Source organism: Homo sapiens, chromosome 4, assembly GCF_000001405.40.
Source record: "Homo sapiens chromosome 4, GRCh38.p14 Primary Assembly".
NCBI lineage: Eukaryota > Metazoa > Chordata > Mammalia > Primates > Hominidae > Homo > Homo sapiens.
Genome location: NC_000004.12, coordinates 90,247,843 through 90,265,713, shown reverse-complemented (window position 1 = coordinate 90,265,713; position 17,871 = coordinate 90,247,843). Strand labels below are relative to the sequence as shown.

The 17,871-nt window shown below is 34.7% G+C and overlaps 1 protein-coding gene across 38 annotated transcripts in view; it reads right to left on the bottom strand.

Annotated features, from left to right (window-relative positions):
* Nucleotides 1–17,871, bottom strand: part of CCSER1 (coiled-coil serine rich protein 1) — a 1,477,902-nt gene that overhangs the window by 1,339,582 nt on the left and 120,449 nt on the right. The window contains exon 1 of one of the 38 annotated variants that reach the window (XM_011531939.3): nt 1,992–3,654. The exons of the other annotated variants lie outside the window; for them this stretch is intronic. The gene's annotated coding sequence lies outside the window, so the exon portion shown is untranslated. Of the gene's footprint in view, nt 1–1,991; nt 3,655–17,871 lie in introns of those variants that run through there. 38 annotated transcript variants of the gene reach the window in all.

Genomic DNA, 17,871 nt, shown 5'->3' with positions numbered 1-17,871 from the left:
TCATAGTGTAAAACAGCTGGATTCAGAATTTAAGTATGAAATATCTCCTCTTCGTTACATTCAGAACAATACGTTTTATTTTGTAATAATTGGGAAATTGATATAACTTAATAGTATAGAATATTTTATTATAATTTTTGATAGCTTATTTCATTGGCATTTTTAAAAACATGGCAATGTGGACAGAAATATCTTTAAGACTATTTTAATGTAATCAAGTAATAATCACAAATTTTCATTTCTAAATCATTATGTTCAAGAAAAAATATTAACCAGTCCTAATATTACACTAGTGAAATTTGATCATTTAAATTTTACTTTACTTTTTTAATACCTGATGAATCATTACTGTCATTTACCTTTGATATACATTTATATAAATACATAATATACATACAAATATATTTTATTCTAAATATGAAAGTTACTTTCTATGAAAGCACATTTTTGCCATAAAAATACATACTGAATTCCATTCAAAAGAAAAAGTAAAATAAAAAATATTGCCTCAGGAATATAGGTAGGTATAATTATTTTAAGAACTAAAAAATAGTCAAGGAAGAGATTGCAAGTAGTTCATACACTCTTCCCTTCAACACACTCTATAAAGGTCTGTATCTCGCAAAATTAAAGATTATATATAATACATAAGCTATCTGAGATACAAGAATATTCTTTACTAGATGTCATTTTTAAGATATTCACATAGTTTATGAAGACAGAAGAAAATTATACCCTCAATTTAAAATAAAATAGTCAAAGAATATCAGAAAAGGAAAATGGGTTATGTTTAGTGGGACAATGTAATCTGGAGCTTATTAAGACTTCTTTTTATAAACGAATAAATTCAGAATTAATATATCAACTTAGAGGACTGGAAAAATAAAATCACTTCATAATCATCAAGATAACCTTAATAATCCAGACAGGAATATTAAATGCTCAGATAGCTGGATTAAAATGTTATAAATGTTAATTGTCTCAAAATATTCCAGCAAACTCAACCATCCAGGATAAAAAAAAAAGTGTATTAGACAGCTATGTAGACACTGAATAGTAGAGCAGATTTACTGATTGACACCAAAAGGAGAAAAATAAAGTTTAGAAATATACAAAAACAACCTACAAAAAGCATTCCAGTAAACAGGAAAGTAACACAATATGAAGGATGTTCTTGTCAGTTCTTCTCTTGTTAGTTTGTGTTGTAGGTGGGGCAGTGACATAAATGATCCTAATATGAAAATATTCTGTAATAAACTAACTTTTTATAAAGTTAATAGCCAATGAAATTTTTCACCCCAGTTAGTACTAGACTGACTCGATAGATATCATGTTAATGTCTTTGGGAGTCAGGTTTGCAGTATAAACAACCAAAAATGCAATGTATACACAATACAATAAATTCCAAAGCAGAACATGTAAAAAGTGCAAGATTCCACTCAATTTATGAAAGTGAGGGTAGAAAACTGCTCAAAACACTCAAAGCCATTTACAAATTGGGACTGTAACACCAGTTAATTGTGGAAGAAGAGAATATTGACAAGAATAGCAATAAAGAGCACATTTGGAATATCACAGATTATGCTCATAAGGAAATTCATCAAGCCCACGGTGTATTTTAACAAGAGGTCCTCTTTACTATGGTGCTCTAAAAGTCAAGTGTGACTTGAAAACTGCTATATCTTTCTTTTGTAGCTTTATGCCTAAAAAATGCTTCCCCAAGTGGGGGCAAAGTTAGGGGGGTCTGTGCTCTGACTTTCCTTGATGGGGACAAGTCATGGCCCCTGTGAGGGTTGGCGGTGGCTCTCAGGCCACTGGGGTAATGTTCCAGAGGGGAGTATAATAGTCTGCTGCACAGAAGAATTCACAAAGGGGTTATGGAGTAGCAGTTGGCCATGCCCCTCCACTGGCCCTACTAGCTTAACACAAAGGACATAAACTTTTGGGAGCTTTATAGCTCCACCCATCACCTGAGAAACCAGAATACTTACCCCAGACTACTTAGGGCAAGCTCAAATCCCACTGCCTCTGTGCCAGCTGATGCCCCTTTTCAAGCGCCACCTCTGTTGGAGGTCAATCAACTCGGGCCATTACAGCATCTCTAGGTAGAATAACTCTGTGCCCAGGAAAAAGAAAATGGCTGTGTGACTTCGGCTATCAACTTTGCCTGCAGTACTCTGGTTAACCAGAGGTCCTGAGTCTGTCCACATGACAAGTTCACTATGATTATAACCAGCATTTGAAAAAGCCAGCACACTAAGCCTATCTACAACCAAGGAATCTCACAGGGTCTACATCACTCCCCTGCCACCTCCATCAGAGCTGGTGCTGCTTCCCAATGCTGGGAGACTTAAAGTCAGTTCACATAGCCGGATTCTTTGCAGACATCCCCAGTACGAGTCCAGAGTGTGGCAGCCCCACTGGGTGGCTAGCCCCAGAAAGGCAATACCAATCACTGTAGTCTGGCTCTCAGGAACTCCTACTACTAGGGGAAGAGGGAGAATGCCACTTCTAGGGAACATGCCATGGGACAAAAGAATCCGGATGGCAGGACTTGAGTCCCAGATCTTTCCGCTGGTGGGAAGTTTCTCATAGCAGAGATGCTATTGCAGCACTGGGCTCAGTGGAGAAAGTCTGCACCTCTACCCCAACAGTCAGGCAGCACATGAAGGGTCTTGGAGAAGGGGCCCTTGTTTCTGCCTTGTCCACAACTGCAGACACAACTGAGACTCCTCCCACAGGAACTCAGCGAGGACACATCTATAGACAGCCTTCCTGGAACATTTCAGGGTGATTATGTCCCCACAGGAGGAGCACTCCCCAGGTTCAGGATTGCATGAGTGGCAGAGTCATAATTCCTCTCTACTTGGAATATCAATGTTCTTACAGACAAAAAGAGGTACCTGTCTGATCTGAACAGCCAGAACACAGGGGCAGGAGTGAGGCTGGGAGGTAGACAGATTTCCTACTGGCCTGGCAGGGGAGTTAAGGTAGCTCCCACCCTTCCCCCTGCTAAAACTTCAGTGCATCTAATGGAGAGCTCTCCCAGCCACCTTCATCAAGGCTGGGATCCCTGCCCACCATTGGGTATTGCATCTACCCACTGGCTTTAGCAACAACTGATTCCTACCCGGAGATACATCCTCTATTGGCCTAAAACTTGAACCATTAACTCAGTAAATAAAATAACAGGAAAAAACTAATTAAAATTTTAAAAATGCATACGATGGGGCAATGAAATAAGCTTCAAGAGATCCTTGCTTTTCCAACCCCATAGGAGACAGTGAACTTGCCCACACATCAAGTACATAACTAATACAATGAGCAGCTAAGAAAGCCAGCACACAAAGACTCTGTAACAAACGAACTCATACAGTCTTCAGCCCTAAAAGCACCAAGAATCAAATGAGGCTATAATAAACTATAAACATTAAAGCCACATCCTCAAGAGGATAAAAAGAAATTTAAAAGAAATCAAATATAAATTTAAAAACAATTTAAAGCAATACTCTACCTAAGACAGGGATTTGTAATATGACAAAACAGGGTTCTTTAATATCCCCAAAAAATCACAGAAGCTCCCTAGCAATGGATCCAAACCAAGATGAAATATTTGAAATAGCAAATAAAAATTCAGAAGGTTTATTATTAAGCTACTCAAGGAAATACCAGAGAAAGGTGAAAATCAACAAAAATAAATTTAAAAAAAATTCAATATATAAGTGAAAAAGTTTCCAGACAGATAGATATCTTAAAGAAAAACCAATCAGAACTTCTAGAAATGAAAGACACATTTAGGGAAATACAAAATGTAACAGAAAGTTTCAACAATAAAATAAGTATAAGAAAACATTTCAAAGCTTGAAGACACAGCTTTCAAATTAACCAATCAGACAAAGATGAAGCAAAAAGAATCAAAAGAAATACACAAAGTCTCCAAGAAATATGGGATTATGTAATATGGCCAAACCTAAGAATAATTGGTGTTCCTGAGGAAGAAGAGAAGACTAAAAGTTTGAAAAGATATTTCAGGGAATAATTGAGAAAAACTTTCCTGACCTTGCTAGAGATTTAGATATCCAAATACAAGAAGCACAAAGAACTCCTGGGAAATTCATTGCAAAAAGATCATCACCAAGGTACATAGTCATCAGGCTATCTAAAGTCAACATGAAGGAAAGAATTCTAAGAGCTGTGAGACAAAAGCATCAGGTAACCCACAGAGGAAAAGCTATCAGACTAACAGAAGACTTCTCAGCAGAAACCTCACAAACTAGAAGGAACTGAGTTCCTATCTTTAGCCTCCTTAAACAGAACAATTGTCAGCCAAGATTTTTGTTTCCAGTGAAACTTAGCTTCATAAATGATGAAGAGATAAAGTGTTTTCCAGACAAACAAATGCTGAGGGTATTTGCCACTACCAAACCAGCACTACGAAAAATGCTAAAAGTTCTAAATCTTGAACCAAAAGCTCAATGTGCACCAAAATAGAACCTCCTGAAAGCATTAAGCTCACAGGGCCTATAAAACAATAACACAGTGAAAAAAAAAACAGTGTATCTAGGTAACAACTAATATGATGAATATGATGAATATAACAGTACTTCGTATCTCAATAATAACATTGAATGTAAATGGCCTAAATGCTCCACTTAAAAGGTAAAGAATGGCCGAATGGGTTTAACAAAACCAACACCTAGCCAGGTGTGGTGCCTCACACCTCTAATCCTAGTACTTTGGGAGGCCAAGGCAAGCAGATCACTTGAGGTCAGGAGTTCAAGACCAGCCTGGCCAACATGGTGAAATTCCGTTTCTACTAAAAATAGAAAAATTAGCCAGGTGTGCTGGCACACGCCTGTAATCCTAGCTACTCGGGAGGCTGAGGCAGGAAAATTGCTTGAACCCAGGAGGCGGAGGTTGCAGTGAGCCAAAATAGTGCCATTGCACTCCAGCCTGGGCAACAAGAGTGAAACTCTGTCTTAATAAATCAAGAAATAAATCAAATAAAAAATTAGAAAACCACCAAACAATATCTACTGTCTTCAACAGACTCATCTTACACATAAGCATTCACATAAACTCAAGGTCAAAGGGATAGAAAAAGATATTCCATGTAAATGAAAACCAGAAGAAGTAGGAGTAGCTATTCTTATGTCAGACAAAACAGACTTTAAGGCAACACTAGTAAAAAAAAGACAAAGAACAATATTATATCATCATAAAAGTAGCAGTCCAACAAGAAGACATTACAATCCTAAACCTATATGCAACTAACACTGGAGCTCCCAGATTTATAAAACAATTACTGCTGGACCAAAGAAATGAGATAGCAGCACAATAATAGTGGAAGACTTCAATACTCCACAGAACACTAGACAGATCATCAAGGCAGAAAGTCAACGATTTTATAACCAATACCACAAAAATACAAAAGTTCACTGAAGTCTACTATGAACACCTTTACATGCACAAACTAGAAAACCCAGAGGAAATGGATAAATTCTTAGAAATATACAACCCTCTTAGATTAAATCAGGAAGAAACAGGAACACTGAACAGACCAATACCAAGTGGTGAGACTGAATCAATAATTTTAAAAAATTGCCAGTGAAAAGAAGTACAGGACCAGATGGATGTACAATTGAATTCTACCAGACATTCAAAGAAGAATTGGTACTAATCCTACTGAAATTATTCCAAAAGATAAAGAGAGAATCTTCCCTAAGTCATTCGATGAAGCCAGTACCACCCTAATAGCAAAACCAGGAAAGGACATAACAAAAAAGAGAAAACTACAGACCAATATCACTGATAAACATAGATGCAAAAATCATCAACAAAATACTAGCTCACCAAATCCAACAGCTGGTGGATGATCAAAATGATAATACATCATGACAAAATGAGTTTAGTCACAGAGATGCAGGGATGGTTTAACATACACAAGTCAATAAATGTGATATATCACATAGCTAGAATTGAAAACAAAAACCATATGATCATCTCAATAGATAAGGGAAAAGCACTTGGTAAAATCCAGCATCCCTTCATAATAAAAACTCTTAACAAAATAGGCATAGAAGGGACTTACCTCAAAGTAATAAAAGCCATATATGACAAACCCACAGCTAACATCTTAGCTAAAAGCATTTCCCCTGAGAACTGGAGCAAGACAAGGATGCCCACTTTCACCATTTCTATTCAACATAGTACAGGAAGTCTTAGCCAGAGCAATTAGGCAAGAGAAAGAAATAAAGGACATACAAATTGGGAAAAAAAAAGAAGTCAAACTGTCACTGTTCACTGATGATATGATCATATACCTAGAAAACCATAAATACTCATCCAAAAGGCACCTAGATCTGATAAACAAATTCAGTAAAGTCTCACATTACAAAATCAATGTATACAAAGCACTGCTATTCACCAACAATGATCAAGCTGAGAATCACATCAAGAACGCAATCCCTTTTGCAATAGCTGCAAAAACAATAAAATACCTAGGAATATACTTAACTAAAAAGGTGAAAACTATAAAGGAAAACTACAAAACACTACTGAAAGAAATCACAGATGACACAAATGAAAACACATCCCATGCTCATAGATAGGAAGAATCAATATTGTGAAAATGACCATACTGCCTGAAGCAACCTGCAGATTCAATGCTATTCCCATCAAAATACCACCATCATTCCTCACAGAACTAGAAAAAACAATCCTAAAATTCATATGGAACCAAAAAAGAGCCCACATAACCAAAGCAATACTAAGCAAAAAGAACAAATCTGGAGGTATCACATTGCCAGACTTCAAATTATACTACAAGGCTGTAGTTACCAAAACAGCATGGTTGCAAAGAAAGTGAGGGGTGTAAGACTACATATTTGATACAGTGTACACTGCTTAGGTGAGGAGTGCATTAAAATCTCATAATTCACCACTAAAGAACTCATCCATGTAGCCAAAAAACACCTGTACCCCAAAAACTATTGAAATAAAAAATAAAACTAACACATATGTACTATTAATTGTATAGTGTATTGAAAAATGGCTAGAAAATCAAATCATTATGACTGTTTATCTTTGAAAGTGAAACTATAAATAAGGAACTTTGTGTATTTTAACATTATTATACTCTCTTAAAATATTCTTTGAGTTTCTTACACATATTTCACTTTGATATTTTTGTTTGTTTGTTTTTGAGATGGAGTCTCACCTTTCGCCAGGCTGGAATGCAGTGGCGTGATCTCAGCTCACTGCAACCTCTGCCTCCCAGGTTCAAGTGATTCTCCTGCCTCAGTCTCCCGAGTAGCTGGGATTACAGGCGTGCACCACCACGCCCAGCTAATTTTGTATGTTTAGTAGAAACGGGGTGTTACCATGTTGGCCAAGATGATCTCAATCTCTTGACCTCATGATCCACCTGCCGCGGCCTCCCAAAGTGCTGGGATTACAGGCATGAGCCACCGTGCCCATCCGATATTTTTTTAAATGAGTAAATAATTATTTTTCTGTGATGTCATACCAGTAGCCCTTAAATACAGAATGGGAGTCATCAGCCTATAAAAACCAGAAATTATTATCTGGCTATAGAGTCTGGAACCTTAAGTTTGAGATCGCTTCCTTTCAAATGATTGGAGTTAACAGCTAGGAAAACTGAACAGTGTGGCGGTTAATTTTATGTGTCAACTTGACTGGACCACAGACTGCCCAGGTATTTGGTTAAACATTATTGAGGGTATGTCTGTGAGTCTATGAAGATGTTTCTGGATGAGATTAGCATATGAAATCAGTAGCCTGAATCAATCGGATTGCCTTCTCCAATATGAGTGGGGCTTATCCAATCCCTTGATGGCCTGAATAGAATAAAAGGCTGAGTCAGGGGGAATTCACTCCTCTACTTGACTGTCTGGGAGCTACAATATCAAAATTCTCCTGTCTTCAGACTCAGATTCAGACTGGAACTATGTAATTGACTCTCCTGGGTCATCAGACAGCCAACAGCAAATCTTGGAATTTTCCAACCTCCATAATCGTGTGAGCCAATTCCTTATAATAAATAAACATTTACTTAAGTATTTACATGTTTATGTTAAATCTCTCTCCTTCTTTATCTATCTAAGTATCTATGTATCTATGTATCTATGTATCTATCTATCTATCTATCTATCTATCTATCTGTATCCTATTGGCACTCTCTCTCTCTGGACTAACACAAGGAGCATGCTATGCTATTTAGACCATAATTAATCTCTTTTCCACCAGCATAAATCCCTGCTTTGCTCATTTGACTTTTAAATACACCAAAAAATATTTTTTGCTCCCTTAAACATTTATCAAGTGCCCTTTATGTGTCATGTTTTATAAATAAAAACAAAAGAACCATACAAGGTCCCTGTCCTAGAATCATAAGCACTCATTTTTGATGAATAGTATTTGATAATGAATAGCAATGATGCATTGCTTATATAGACATATACCTATATATATATATATAACATTTCATTTTATAACATAAGACACTGATATTTTATGCCATCTCCTTTCCTTTGTTTGTTAACATACTGTTAATTTGCAAATAATTTTTATATCTGCTGTTAAGACCACCACTATTTTCCATAACAGTGAATATAGCAATCCCTCTCTTACCCATCAGGCATATCTTCGAAGACCCCCCCGCAGTGGATGCCTGAAACTACAGATAGTACGGAATGTCATAAATACTATGTATTTTCTTATACATACATATATATGGTAAAATTTAATTTATAAATGAAAAACAATGAGATTAATAATAATTATAAAACAAAGCAATATACTGTAATAAAAGTTATATAAATGTGAGCTCCCTCTTTCTCTCTCTCAAAATGTCTTATTTTACTGTATTCAACTATTTTTATACCATGGTTGACTGCAGATAACTTAAGTCGTGGAAAGCAAAACCACAGATAATGGGGAACTACAGTAAATAAAATGATCAGTGACCCACTTTTCATTTGTCAATCCATTTATGAACCTGCCATAGCAATCTCAAGGTGAACTATGCAAACTTATATCTTATAATGAATCTTTCTGATTCTGAGTTTCTCAACCTTAATGTATTTTTAATATAACTACCTCTAGAGAAGTATTCTGCTGACAGCCTACTCACAGGGCATGTAAGACCCAGCACTCAGTAAACATTTTAGAATATGACAGGGAAAGGGCAATGTCTTCAGAATCACCAGGCATAATTCAGAATCAACACTTAAAAACTGTGTAGCCAAAAGCACAGTTAGTTTCTCCGATTTGAAGTTTCTTAATCACTAAGTCAATAATGCCCACCCCAGAGAATTTTACCATAGATTAAATGAGATAACATACACAAGACACTAGAACAATGCCTGGCACAATACATTTTGGCTATTATATCCTCTTCATCTTAATCATGTTTATATTACATATTTTTGTAATAGAAAGAATGAGTCAGGTCACAAAGACTGCAGGAAGATTTTGAGCATGAATGGAGACTATAGGAATTGGCTCCTCCATTACTCAAATAACCAAGAGAGAACTTCAGATGGACATGGAACAGGGTCAATAAACATGCTCTTTACAAATATGTGAAAAATATGAAAACAAATTATATAAGATGAAGAAAAATTTTGGCATACTTCTGGATACAATGTGGCAGAGTAAGAGTGAGAACTCTAGAGTTAGGCTGCAAGGTAAATGCCACAGTTCTATCATTAACTAGAAATGCCACAGTTCCATCACTAGCTAGCTTAGATAAGTTACATAAACATCTAGAGCTTCAGTATCCTCATCTATAAAGTGAATGACAAGTTCCTACCTATTGTGACAATTGGGTGACATTATACATGTAAAGTGAATAATGTCCCAAACACTGAAAATAAACATTAAGTGTTACCATACTTGTACACTAACTACTGGCAATCTGTTCTATAAAGACTTCTCTTGCTTTAACTGTGTTTTTTTTACACCTCTTTGGATGATTGCAACAACTATAATTTCTATGTAATATGTTGCATTTAAAGGCTAGATATCTATTCTGTAATCAGTAGTTTTTGTAAAACTTATTTTAAAAACAGATATCTGAAAATTGTTAGAAAGTACAAATCCTATGTTTGCAAAATATTTTTGTGAACATATAAATTTTTCATTTACCATTGTCAAACTGTAAACTAAGCTTTGAGAATTACTATCCTTATGATTAAAATAACCATAATTTATAACAATCTGTATTTCTATAAAATGATTCATATTTATTAAATGCAGAGCAGAGATGGTGAAGATGCAAAAGGACAGGCAAAACAAAATGGCTTGATATCATTAATCATTCCAATCATCAAAGATTAATGATTGCGCAGATTCCCTGGTCACCAAGCAACCTTCTACTTGTGAATGTGGTTCCCATGTAGATCACTCTGAGAAAAAAAAAATATATGGTTATGCTTATTCAAATAGTTCTATGTAATTTTTATAATTTTCTTTGTAAATTAATAAATGGAAATTCTGATGGTATTTGAAAAAGGACTTGAAAATAGTGTTTAATAAAAGAATTGTTACTTGCTGACGAAAAGCGCTAAATTTTGCTTGACTTATGCTTTAAAAAACACTACCATTTTAATTAAAAAGAAGACCATTACTGGTAGAAGCAGAATAAATGCTGGTAGAATCAATATGTTCATAAAGTGTGCGTGTGTGTGTGTGTGTGTGTGTGTGTGTGTGTTGATATATATGTTGATATGTATATCAACATATACTTTTAAAAAACATACAGATATTTTAGTAAATGAAAGTAAATGCTAAGAACACTACAGGAGGAACAACCATAACAGGTAAAAATTATATAAAGTAACCACTTAAATTATCAGGAAGTTTCCCTAATGACATGCAAAAAATGGAGAAACATTTATTCAGCAAAATCAAATAAATCTCAATAAGTGACAGTCTATGGCATGTGAGCCATGGCCCATTCCCTCCTACCCAGCTCAACTTTATGGAAGCTCTACTATCGGCATGTACAGACAAGAACACAGGGCTCTGTCTCCTCCTAGACCCAAGTTTAGGGCTACAGTTTCTTCCCAGGAGGAGCTGATCACCAGCCTTTCTCATCCTGCCCAGCCCATTGCTGCTGAAGCTCCACTGCAGGCAAGAACAGTCAAATGATCCCTGTTCCTTTCCTCTACTCAGCCTTACTCATAGAATGGAAGATCTACCCCCAGGCATAGCTGGCTGATAATACTGAGCCCTGAATGTCCTTGTTTCAGCAAGTTTACGGTGGAGGTTCAACATCAAGATAATATCAAGTTGACAAGAACAGAGGCTACTGCCCCTGCCAAGCATTCTACTCATTAGAGAAGGCTGTCATTCCTAGAGAAGTGAGCGACTTCCTGACCACCAGCTCTGGAACACTGGTGCAGGGGTACTGCCCAGAGAACGAGGCAAGCCAGAAGGAACTAATGCTCTATAGGTCTTCCTAAAAGATCTGGCTTTATTTGGGACAGGGCATGGGAAGTTCAAGTCTTGGGACACTGTTGTAAAGAACAAAGATTTTGATGGTGAGAAATTTAAGAGGAGACAGATAGCTTCATGAAAGCAAGAAATATAACAGTAAGCAAGCTAGAGTTTAACAGATAAAACCAGGAAAAGACACAACTAAAGAGCATTCCCAGGGTAGGAATAAGTCTCAAAGTCTCATTTCAAAAAATACCTCTGCAAAGGTGCCTAAATTTAATTGGATCAGACTGTAGAGCAATCTATGCACTAGGTATTGTCAAAAACAATGGAGCAATCAGCTAGCAATTAGTGAAGGCTAACAGATGGATATGATACCAGTAGATGCAGACTAGCTAGAAATTTAATAGGGAGAAGAAAGAAAGAGACAATCAAAAAGAGACTAACTAAAATCCACTGTCATCTCTTGAGAAGTTGATGGAGAACAAAGACCAGAGTGTGTGCATGCCCACGGTTGTGCCTCTTAGGAACAATATCAGAGATTGAATCCCATTGGGGAAATGGACTTCACCAAAGTTGTTGAGCAAAGTCACTAAACAGATAAACAAGTGAACAACAACAATAAGACTAAGGAAAATCTTGAAAGCATCAAGAGAAAAATGGTTTGTCACATATTAAGGAACCCCAATAACAATAACAGCTGAGTTTTCACCAAAAATAATGTAGAATATAAGGCAGTGGGATCACATATTCAAAGTTGAAAGGAAAAAAATCTCAATCAAGTATTTCATATTGAAACAATCTTTCAAAAATGTTGTTGAATAAAAACATTCTTTAATTAACAAAAACAGAATTCATTGCTAGCACATCTACTTCTCAAGAAATACTAAAAAAATTCTTCAAGCTGAAAGCAAGTGACACCCAACAATAATTTGAAACCCACTAAAAATTAAAATTTCAGTAAAGGTAATCATATTAGAAAGTATGACATACAATTGCACATTTCTTTCCATTCCTTTTCTTAACTGATTTTAAAAGCTATTTTTTACAATAATATGTACATAATTATATTGTTGGGCCTATGACATATAGAAATGTAACATATTTATAATAGCACAAAGGAATTGGCTGGGAAAAAAGCTGTAGTGGAGAAAAAATGACACCAAACAAAAAGTTAAATGACAAATCCAACCATATCACCAATTATATGAAACATGAATGTATTAAATAATCCAATCAAAAAGAGATTGTCAGACTAAATAAAAACAACAAAATTCAAAGTATGCCTTCTACAGGAGCCACATTTTAGATTCCAAGATGCAAAAACGAAGAAAGTAAAACTATACCATAAAAATAAAAATGACAGGAATGCAAAAATGGCTATATTAATATCAGACAAAATATATTATGAAAATTTAAAAGTTAGTAGAAATAGACACATTGAACAATTGAAAAAATGAAATAATACAAAAATATGTTCTCCAGCCACAAAGGAATAACATTAAAAATTAATTTTTTTAATTTGGAAAATTGGCCTAGTATTTGATAACACAACAGGGGCACTATAATCAATAATAATTTAATTGAACATTTAAAAATAACTAAAATAATATAAGTGGATTTTTGTAACACAAAGGATAAATGCTTGAGAGGATAGATGTACCATTTTCCATGATGTGATTATTATGAATTACATGCCTGTGTCAAAATACCTCATGTATCCCTTAAATATATGTACCCACAAAAATTAAAAATCTTAAAATAAAAAATTGGAAAATTTACAAATATATAAATAGTAAAAAACACGTTCTTATATTACCAATGTGTTAAAAAAGAAAAATAAATCAAAAGAGAAATTGGAAATACTTTGAGATTAATGAAGAAGAAAATAAAACTTGTGAGATGCAACTTAAGCAATGCTTAGAGCTATAACTATCCATAAACATATATAGGTTGAGCATCTCAAATCTGAAAATACAATATGCTCCAGAATCTGAAAGTTTTTATGCAAAAACATGATGCTCAAAAGAAATGCTCATCGGAGCACTTTTGGATTTCAAATTTTTGGATTTGGGTTGCTCAACCTGTATAATTCAAGAATTCCAAATTCTAAAAAAAATCTGAAATCCAAAGCACTTCTAATTCCATGCATTTCAGATACGGGATACTCAACCTGTATTTAAAAAGAAGCATCTCACATCAATAACATTATCTTTCACCTTAAGACACTGACCAAAGAAGACCAAATGAAACTTAAAAGCCAGCAGAATTAAGAAAATAATAAAGATTACAGCACAAACGGCTGAAATAAAACATAGAAAAACAATACAGTAAATCAACAAAATCAAACCTTTAAAAAGAACAAGCAAGAAAAATGAGAAAAGACTCAAATTATTTTTGAAATAATAAAAGATCACTACAAACCTCACAGAAATAAAAGAATTAAAAGGAATACTATGAACAACTGCATTCCAACAGATCATAACTTAGAAGAAATGGAGAAATTCCTAAAAAGATGTAAACTACCAAAATTGACTCAGAGTAAATAGAAAACTCTAAATACACCTATAATAAAGAAAAGAACAATGTCTTTTATTATTTTATATATAAAATCCTCAACAAAATACTAGCAAACATCCAGCAACATAATAAAAAGGTCATACACCATGAGGAAGTGGAATTTTTCCAGAAATCTAATGCTGGTTTAATGTCCAAAAATTAATCAATATAATATACCATATCAATCGACTAAAGAACAAAAAGCACATGTTTCTGTTATAGATGCAGAAACAGCATGGGACAAATTCCAACACAACTTTCATGATAAAAACTCTCAGCAAACTAGTAAGAACATCTCCTCAACCTGATAAGGATGTGTAGAAAAATCCCTGGCTATCATTATACCTACTGGTAAAAATCCAAATGCTTTCACATCTAAAATTAGAAAAAAATAAGACTGTTCAATATCATCATATTTATTCATTATTATACCGAACATTCTAGCCAGCACAAGTAGGCAAAAAGTAAAAATTTATAACACTTAAATAAAATAAAGGAATCCAGATTAGAAAAAAAGAAATAAATGTACCTCTATTTGCAAAGGGAATGATCTTATGATCTTATATTTTTAATAATTCCTAAGGAACACACATACACATACACAAACAAAAATAAACTATTGCAACTAATAAACAAGTTTGATAAGGTTGACAGATACAAGATGAATACACCAAAATCAATTGTATCTCTATACAGTAGAAAATAATCTAAAAATGAGTTAAGAAAATAGTCCTCCATTTACAGTAGCATTCACAAGAAAAAATCTCTAGGAATAAGTTTAATAAAAAGTGCAATACTTGTACTCTGAAAATGACAGAACATTATTGAAAGAAATTGAAGACATTTGATGGTCATTGATTAGAACACGTGTTATTACAAAGATGACAAATCACCCCAAACTGATACAGATTCAACACAATCCTTGTCAAAATCCCAACTGCCTTTTTAAAATTGCAGAAATTGATAAGCTGCTGCTAAATTTCATATGAAAATGAAGCCACAATAGCCAAAACAATTTTGAAAAAGGGAACAAAGTTAGTGAACACACAGTTTCCAATTTCAAAACTTACTACCAAACTACAGTAATCATGACACTGTGATACTGGCATAAGGACAGATATATAAAGCAGTGGAACAGAACCAAGAGTACAGATAGCCCTTATATTTTTGGTCAGGTGATTTTTAACAAGGGTGAGAGGGAAAATCAATGGAGGAAAGAATTGTCTTTTCATCAGATGGTCCCAGACCCAGGGACAAAACAATGAAGTTTAACTTCTTTTCCTGCACTCTACACAAAAAGTGAATCAAAATAGATCTTAAGCCCAAATGTAAGTGCTAAAGCTATAAAAGTCTTAGAAGAAAATGGGAGTAAATCTTAACAACTTTGAGTTAAACAAAACCTTCTTAGATACAATGCCAAATGTATAAGCAAAAGTAAGCATATAAATAAATTAGACTTCATCAAAATTACCAACTTTGTTCTGCAAAAGATACCATCAGGAAGGTAAAAGCCCAGAGAATGGAAGAAAATATTCGCAAACCATAGATCTAATAACAAATTATCTATAATATTTTAAGGACCTCTCAACTCAAAAATACAACCCAATTTTTTTAAAAAAGGCAAAGAATCTAAATCGATATTTATGCAAAGAAGATATATAAATGACCCCAAGGACATGAAAAGATGCTCAACATAATTAGCCATTAAGGAAATGCAAATCAAACCCACAATGAGGCACCACTTTATGCCCACTAGGATGGTTATAATAATGGAGATTGATATTAATAAGTGTTCTCCAGATGGTAGAGAAACTGGAATCGTCCTGCATTGCTGATGGAAATATAAAATGGTGCAAGTGTGTTGAAAAACATGTTGGCAGTTGCGCATGAATGTTCATAGCAGCATTATTCATAATAACCAAAAAGTGAAAATAACTCAAATGTTCATCAATGGATCAATAAAAAAATACATGTGGTAGATCCATACAATGGAATATTATTCAGCAATAAAAGGAATAAAGTACTGATACATGCTACAACATGGATGCACCTTGAAAACATTATGCTAAGTGAAAGGAGCCAGTCACAAAAGACCACATATTGTATGTTCTATTTATATGAAGTGTTCAGAATAAGTAAATCTATAGAGACAGAAAATATATTAGTAGTTGCTCAGGGCTGGGAGAGAGTGGAGAATATTGTGGGTGATTGCTAATAAGAATTGCATTTCTTTTGGGGGTAATGAAAATGGTTTAAAATTTACTCTGAGTTGCACAATTCTGTGAATATACTAAAAAATCATTGAACTGTATACTTTAAATGGTTGACTTGTTTAACATGTAAATTACATCCTGATAAAACTATTAATAAGCAATTTGATATTATCAACTGTTATCCTAGCAAGCTTTGCATTGACAAAATTAGTAATCTCTAAAGGTAGCCACCCCTGTCTCTAGTCGATGGTCTTCCCTTTTTAAACATGGCAAGTAAGAAGTTCAAGTTGTTACACAGATCAGCTTTCTTGTCTGGTGGGTTATATACGAGTAGGGCTGTGGAATACAGTACTATTTGAGGAATTAAAAAGAAGTATGCCATGTCTTTGCCACAAATGATTTTATTTTCCTGTAATTATAATCTAGACATTTGCTACTGCAGTCTATGACTCAACAAAAATAATTAAGATTTTAAAAATTCTGGCCAGGCATTGTGGCTCATGCATGTAATCCCAGCACTTCTAGGAAGCCAAGGCGGATCGTCTGAGATTAGGAGTTTGAGATCAGCCTGGGCAACATGGTGAAACCCTGTCTCTACAAAAAAAACACAAAAATTAGCTGACTGTGATGGCGTGCACCTGTGGTCCCAGCTACTTGAAAGGGTGAAGTGGGAGGATCGCTTAAGCCTAGAAGGTCGAGGCTTCAGTGAACGGTGATCACACCACTGCACTCCAGCCTGGGCAACAGAGTGAGAAACCGTCTCAAAAAAAAAAAAAAATCTAAAATTCTACACATAAATCAGTCAATGCTAAGAAAATTGATCATTTAAATCCACCCTCCTCTAGACCTTGGTAGAATACAAGATGTAGCAGAGAAGTAGCATCGGAGAGTTACAGGGTATTTAATGGTGGCGCATACCCAACATTTACCTAAGGACCTGAGCAGAAGGTTAGTGTTAAGTGCCCAAGCTTTTGAAGCTCTCTACATACTGATGTGTACATTACTGACAAAATGTGTCATGATTCAGAGGCAGGGTCTGTAGTACAGGACCAGCAAAGCAAAACCCACTTAGGAAGCCAGAAGCAAGGAATACAGTCAAGTGACATTAAGAACCTGCTAATGCATGTGAAGTTATCATCAGAAATTTTTTATGTCCAGCTTTTCATCATTACTTTTATAATTTAATACATTCATTCAATACATATTTATTAAGGACCTGTTGTGTGACACGCCCTAGGAAAACAATGGTATGCAAGAGAGACAAGGTCCTTCTGCCAGTGTTATATGTACTTGTTTCTAAAGTCCTTTACCAATTTACCATGTGTTTTATTTTCAACACATGCATATATAGAACTTTGAAACCTATAAATCTAATCAAAGAAATAGCTAAATATATTTGCCCAACTTATTCAAACTAATATAATATACAACTCCTGCCAGTATTTTATTTAATGAATGTAGACAGCTGAAATAATTTTTAAATTTTGTCTCTGTCGTATTTTTTGACCCAAAAAAGATATATTGGCAATACTGGAAAATTTATGGTAAATAATATCTTTCACTACAGGTTGGGAAATTGCTTCATTCTAAAGATCAGATCAAAAATGCTTTTTTCAAAAAAAACCATAAATAAGAA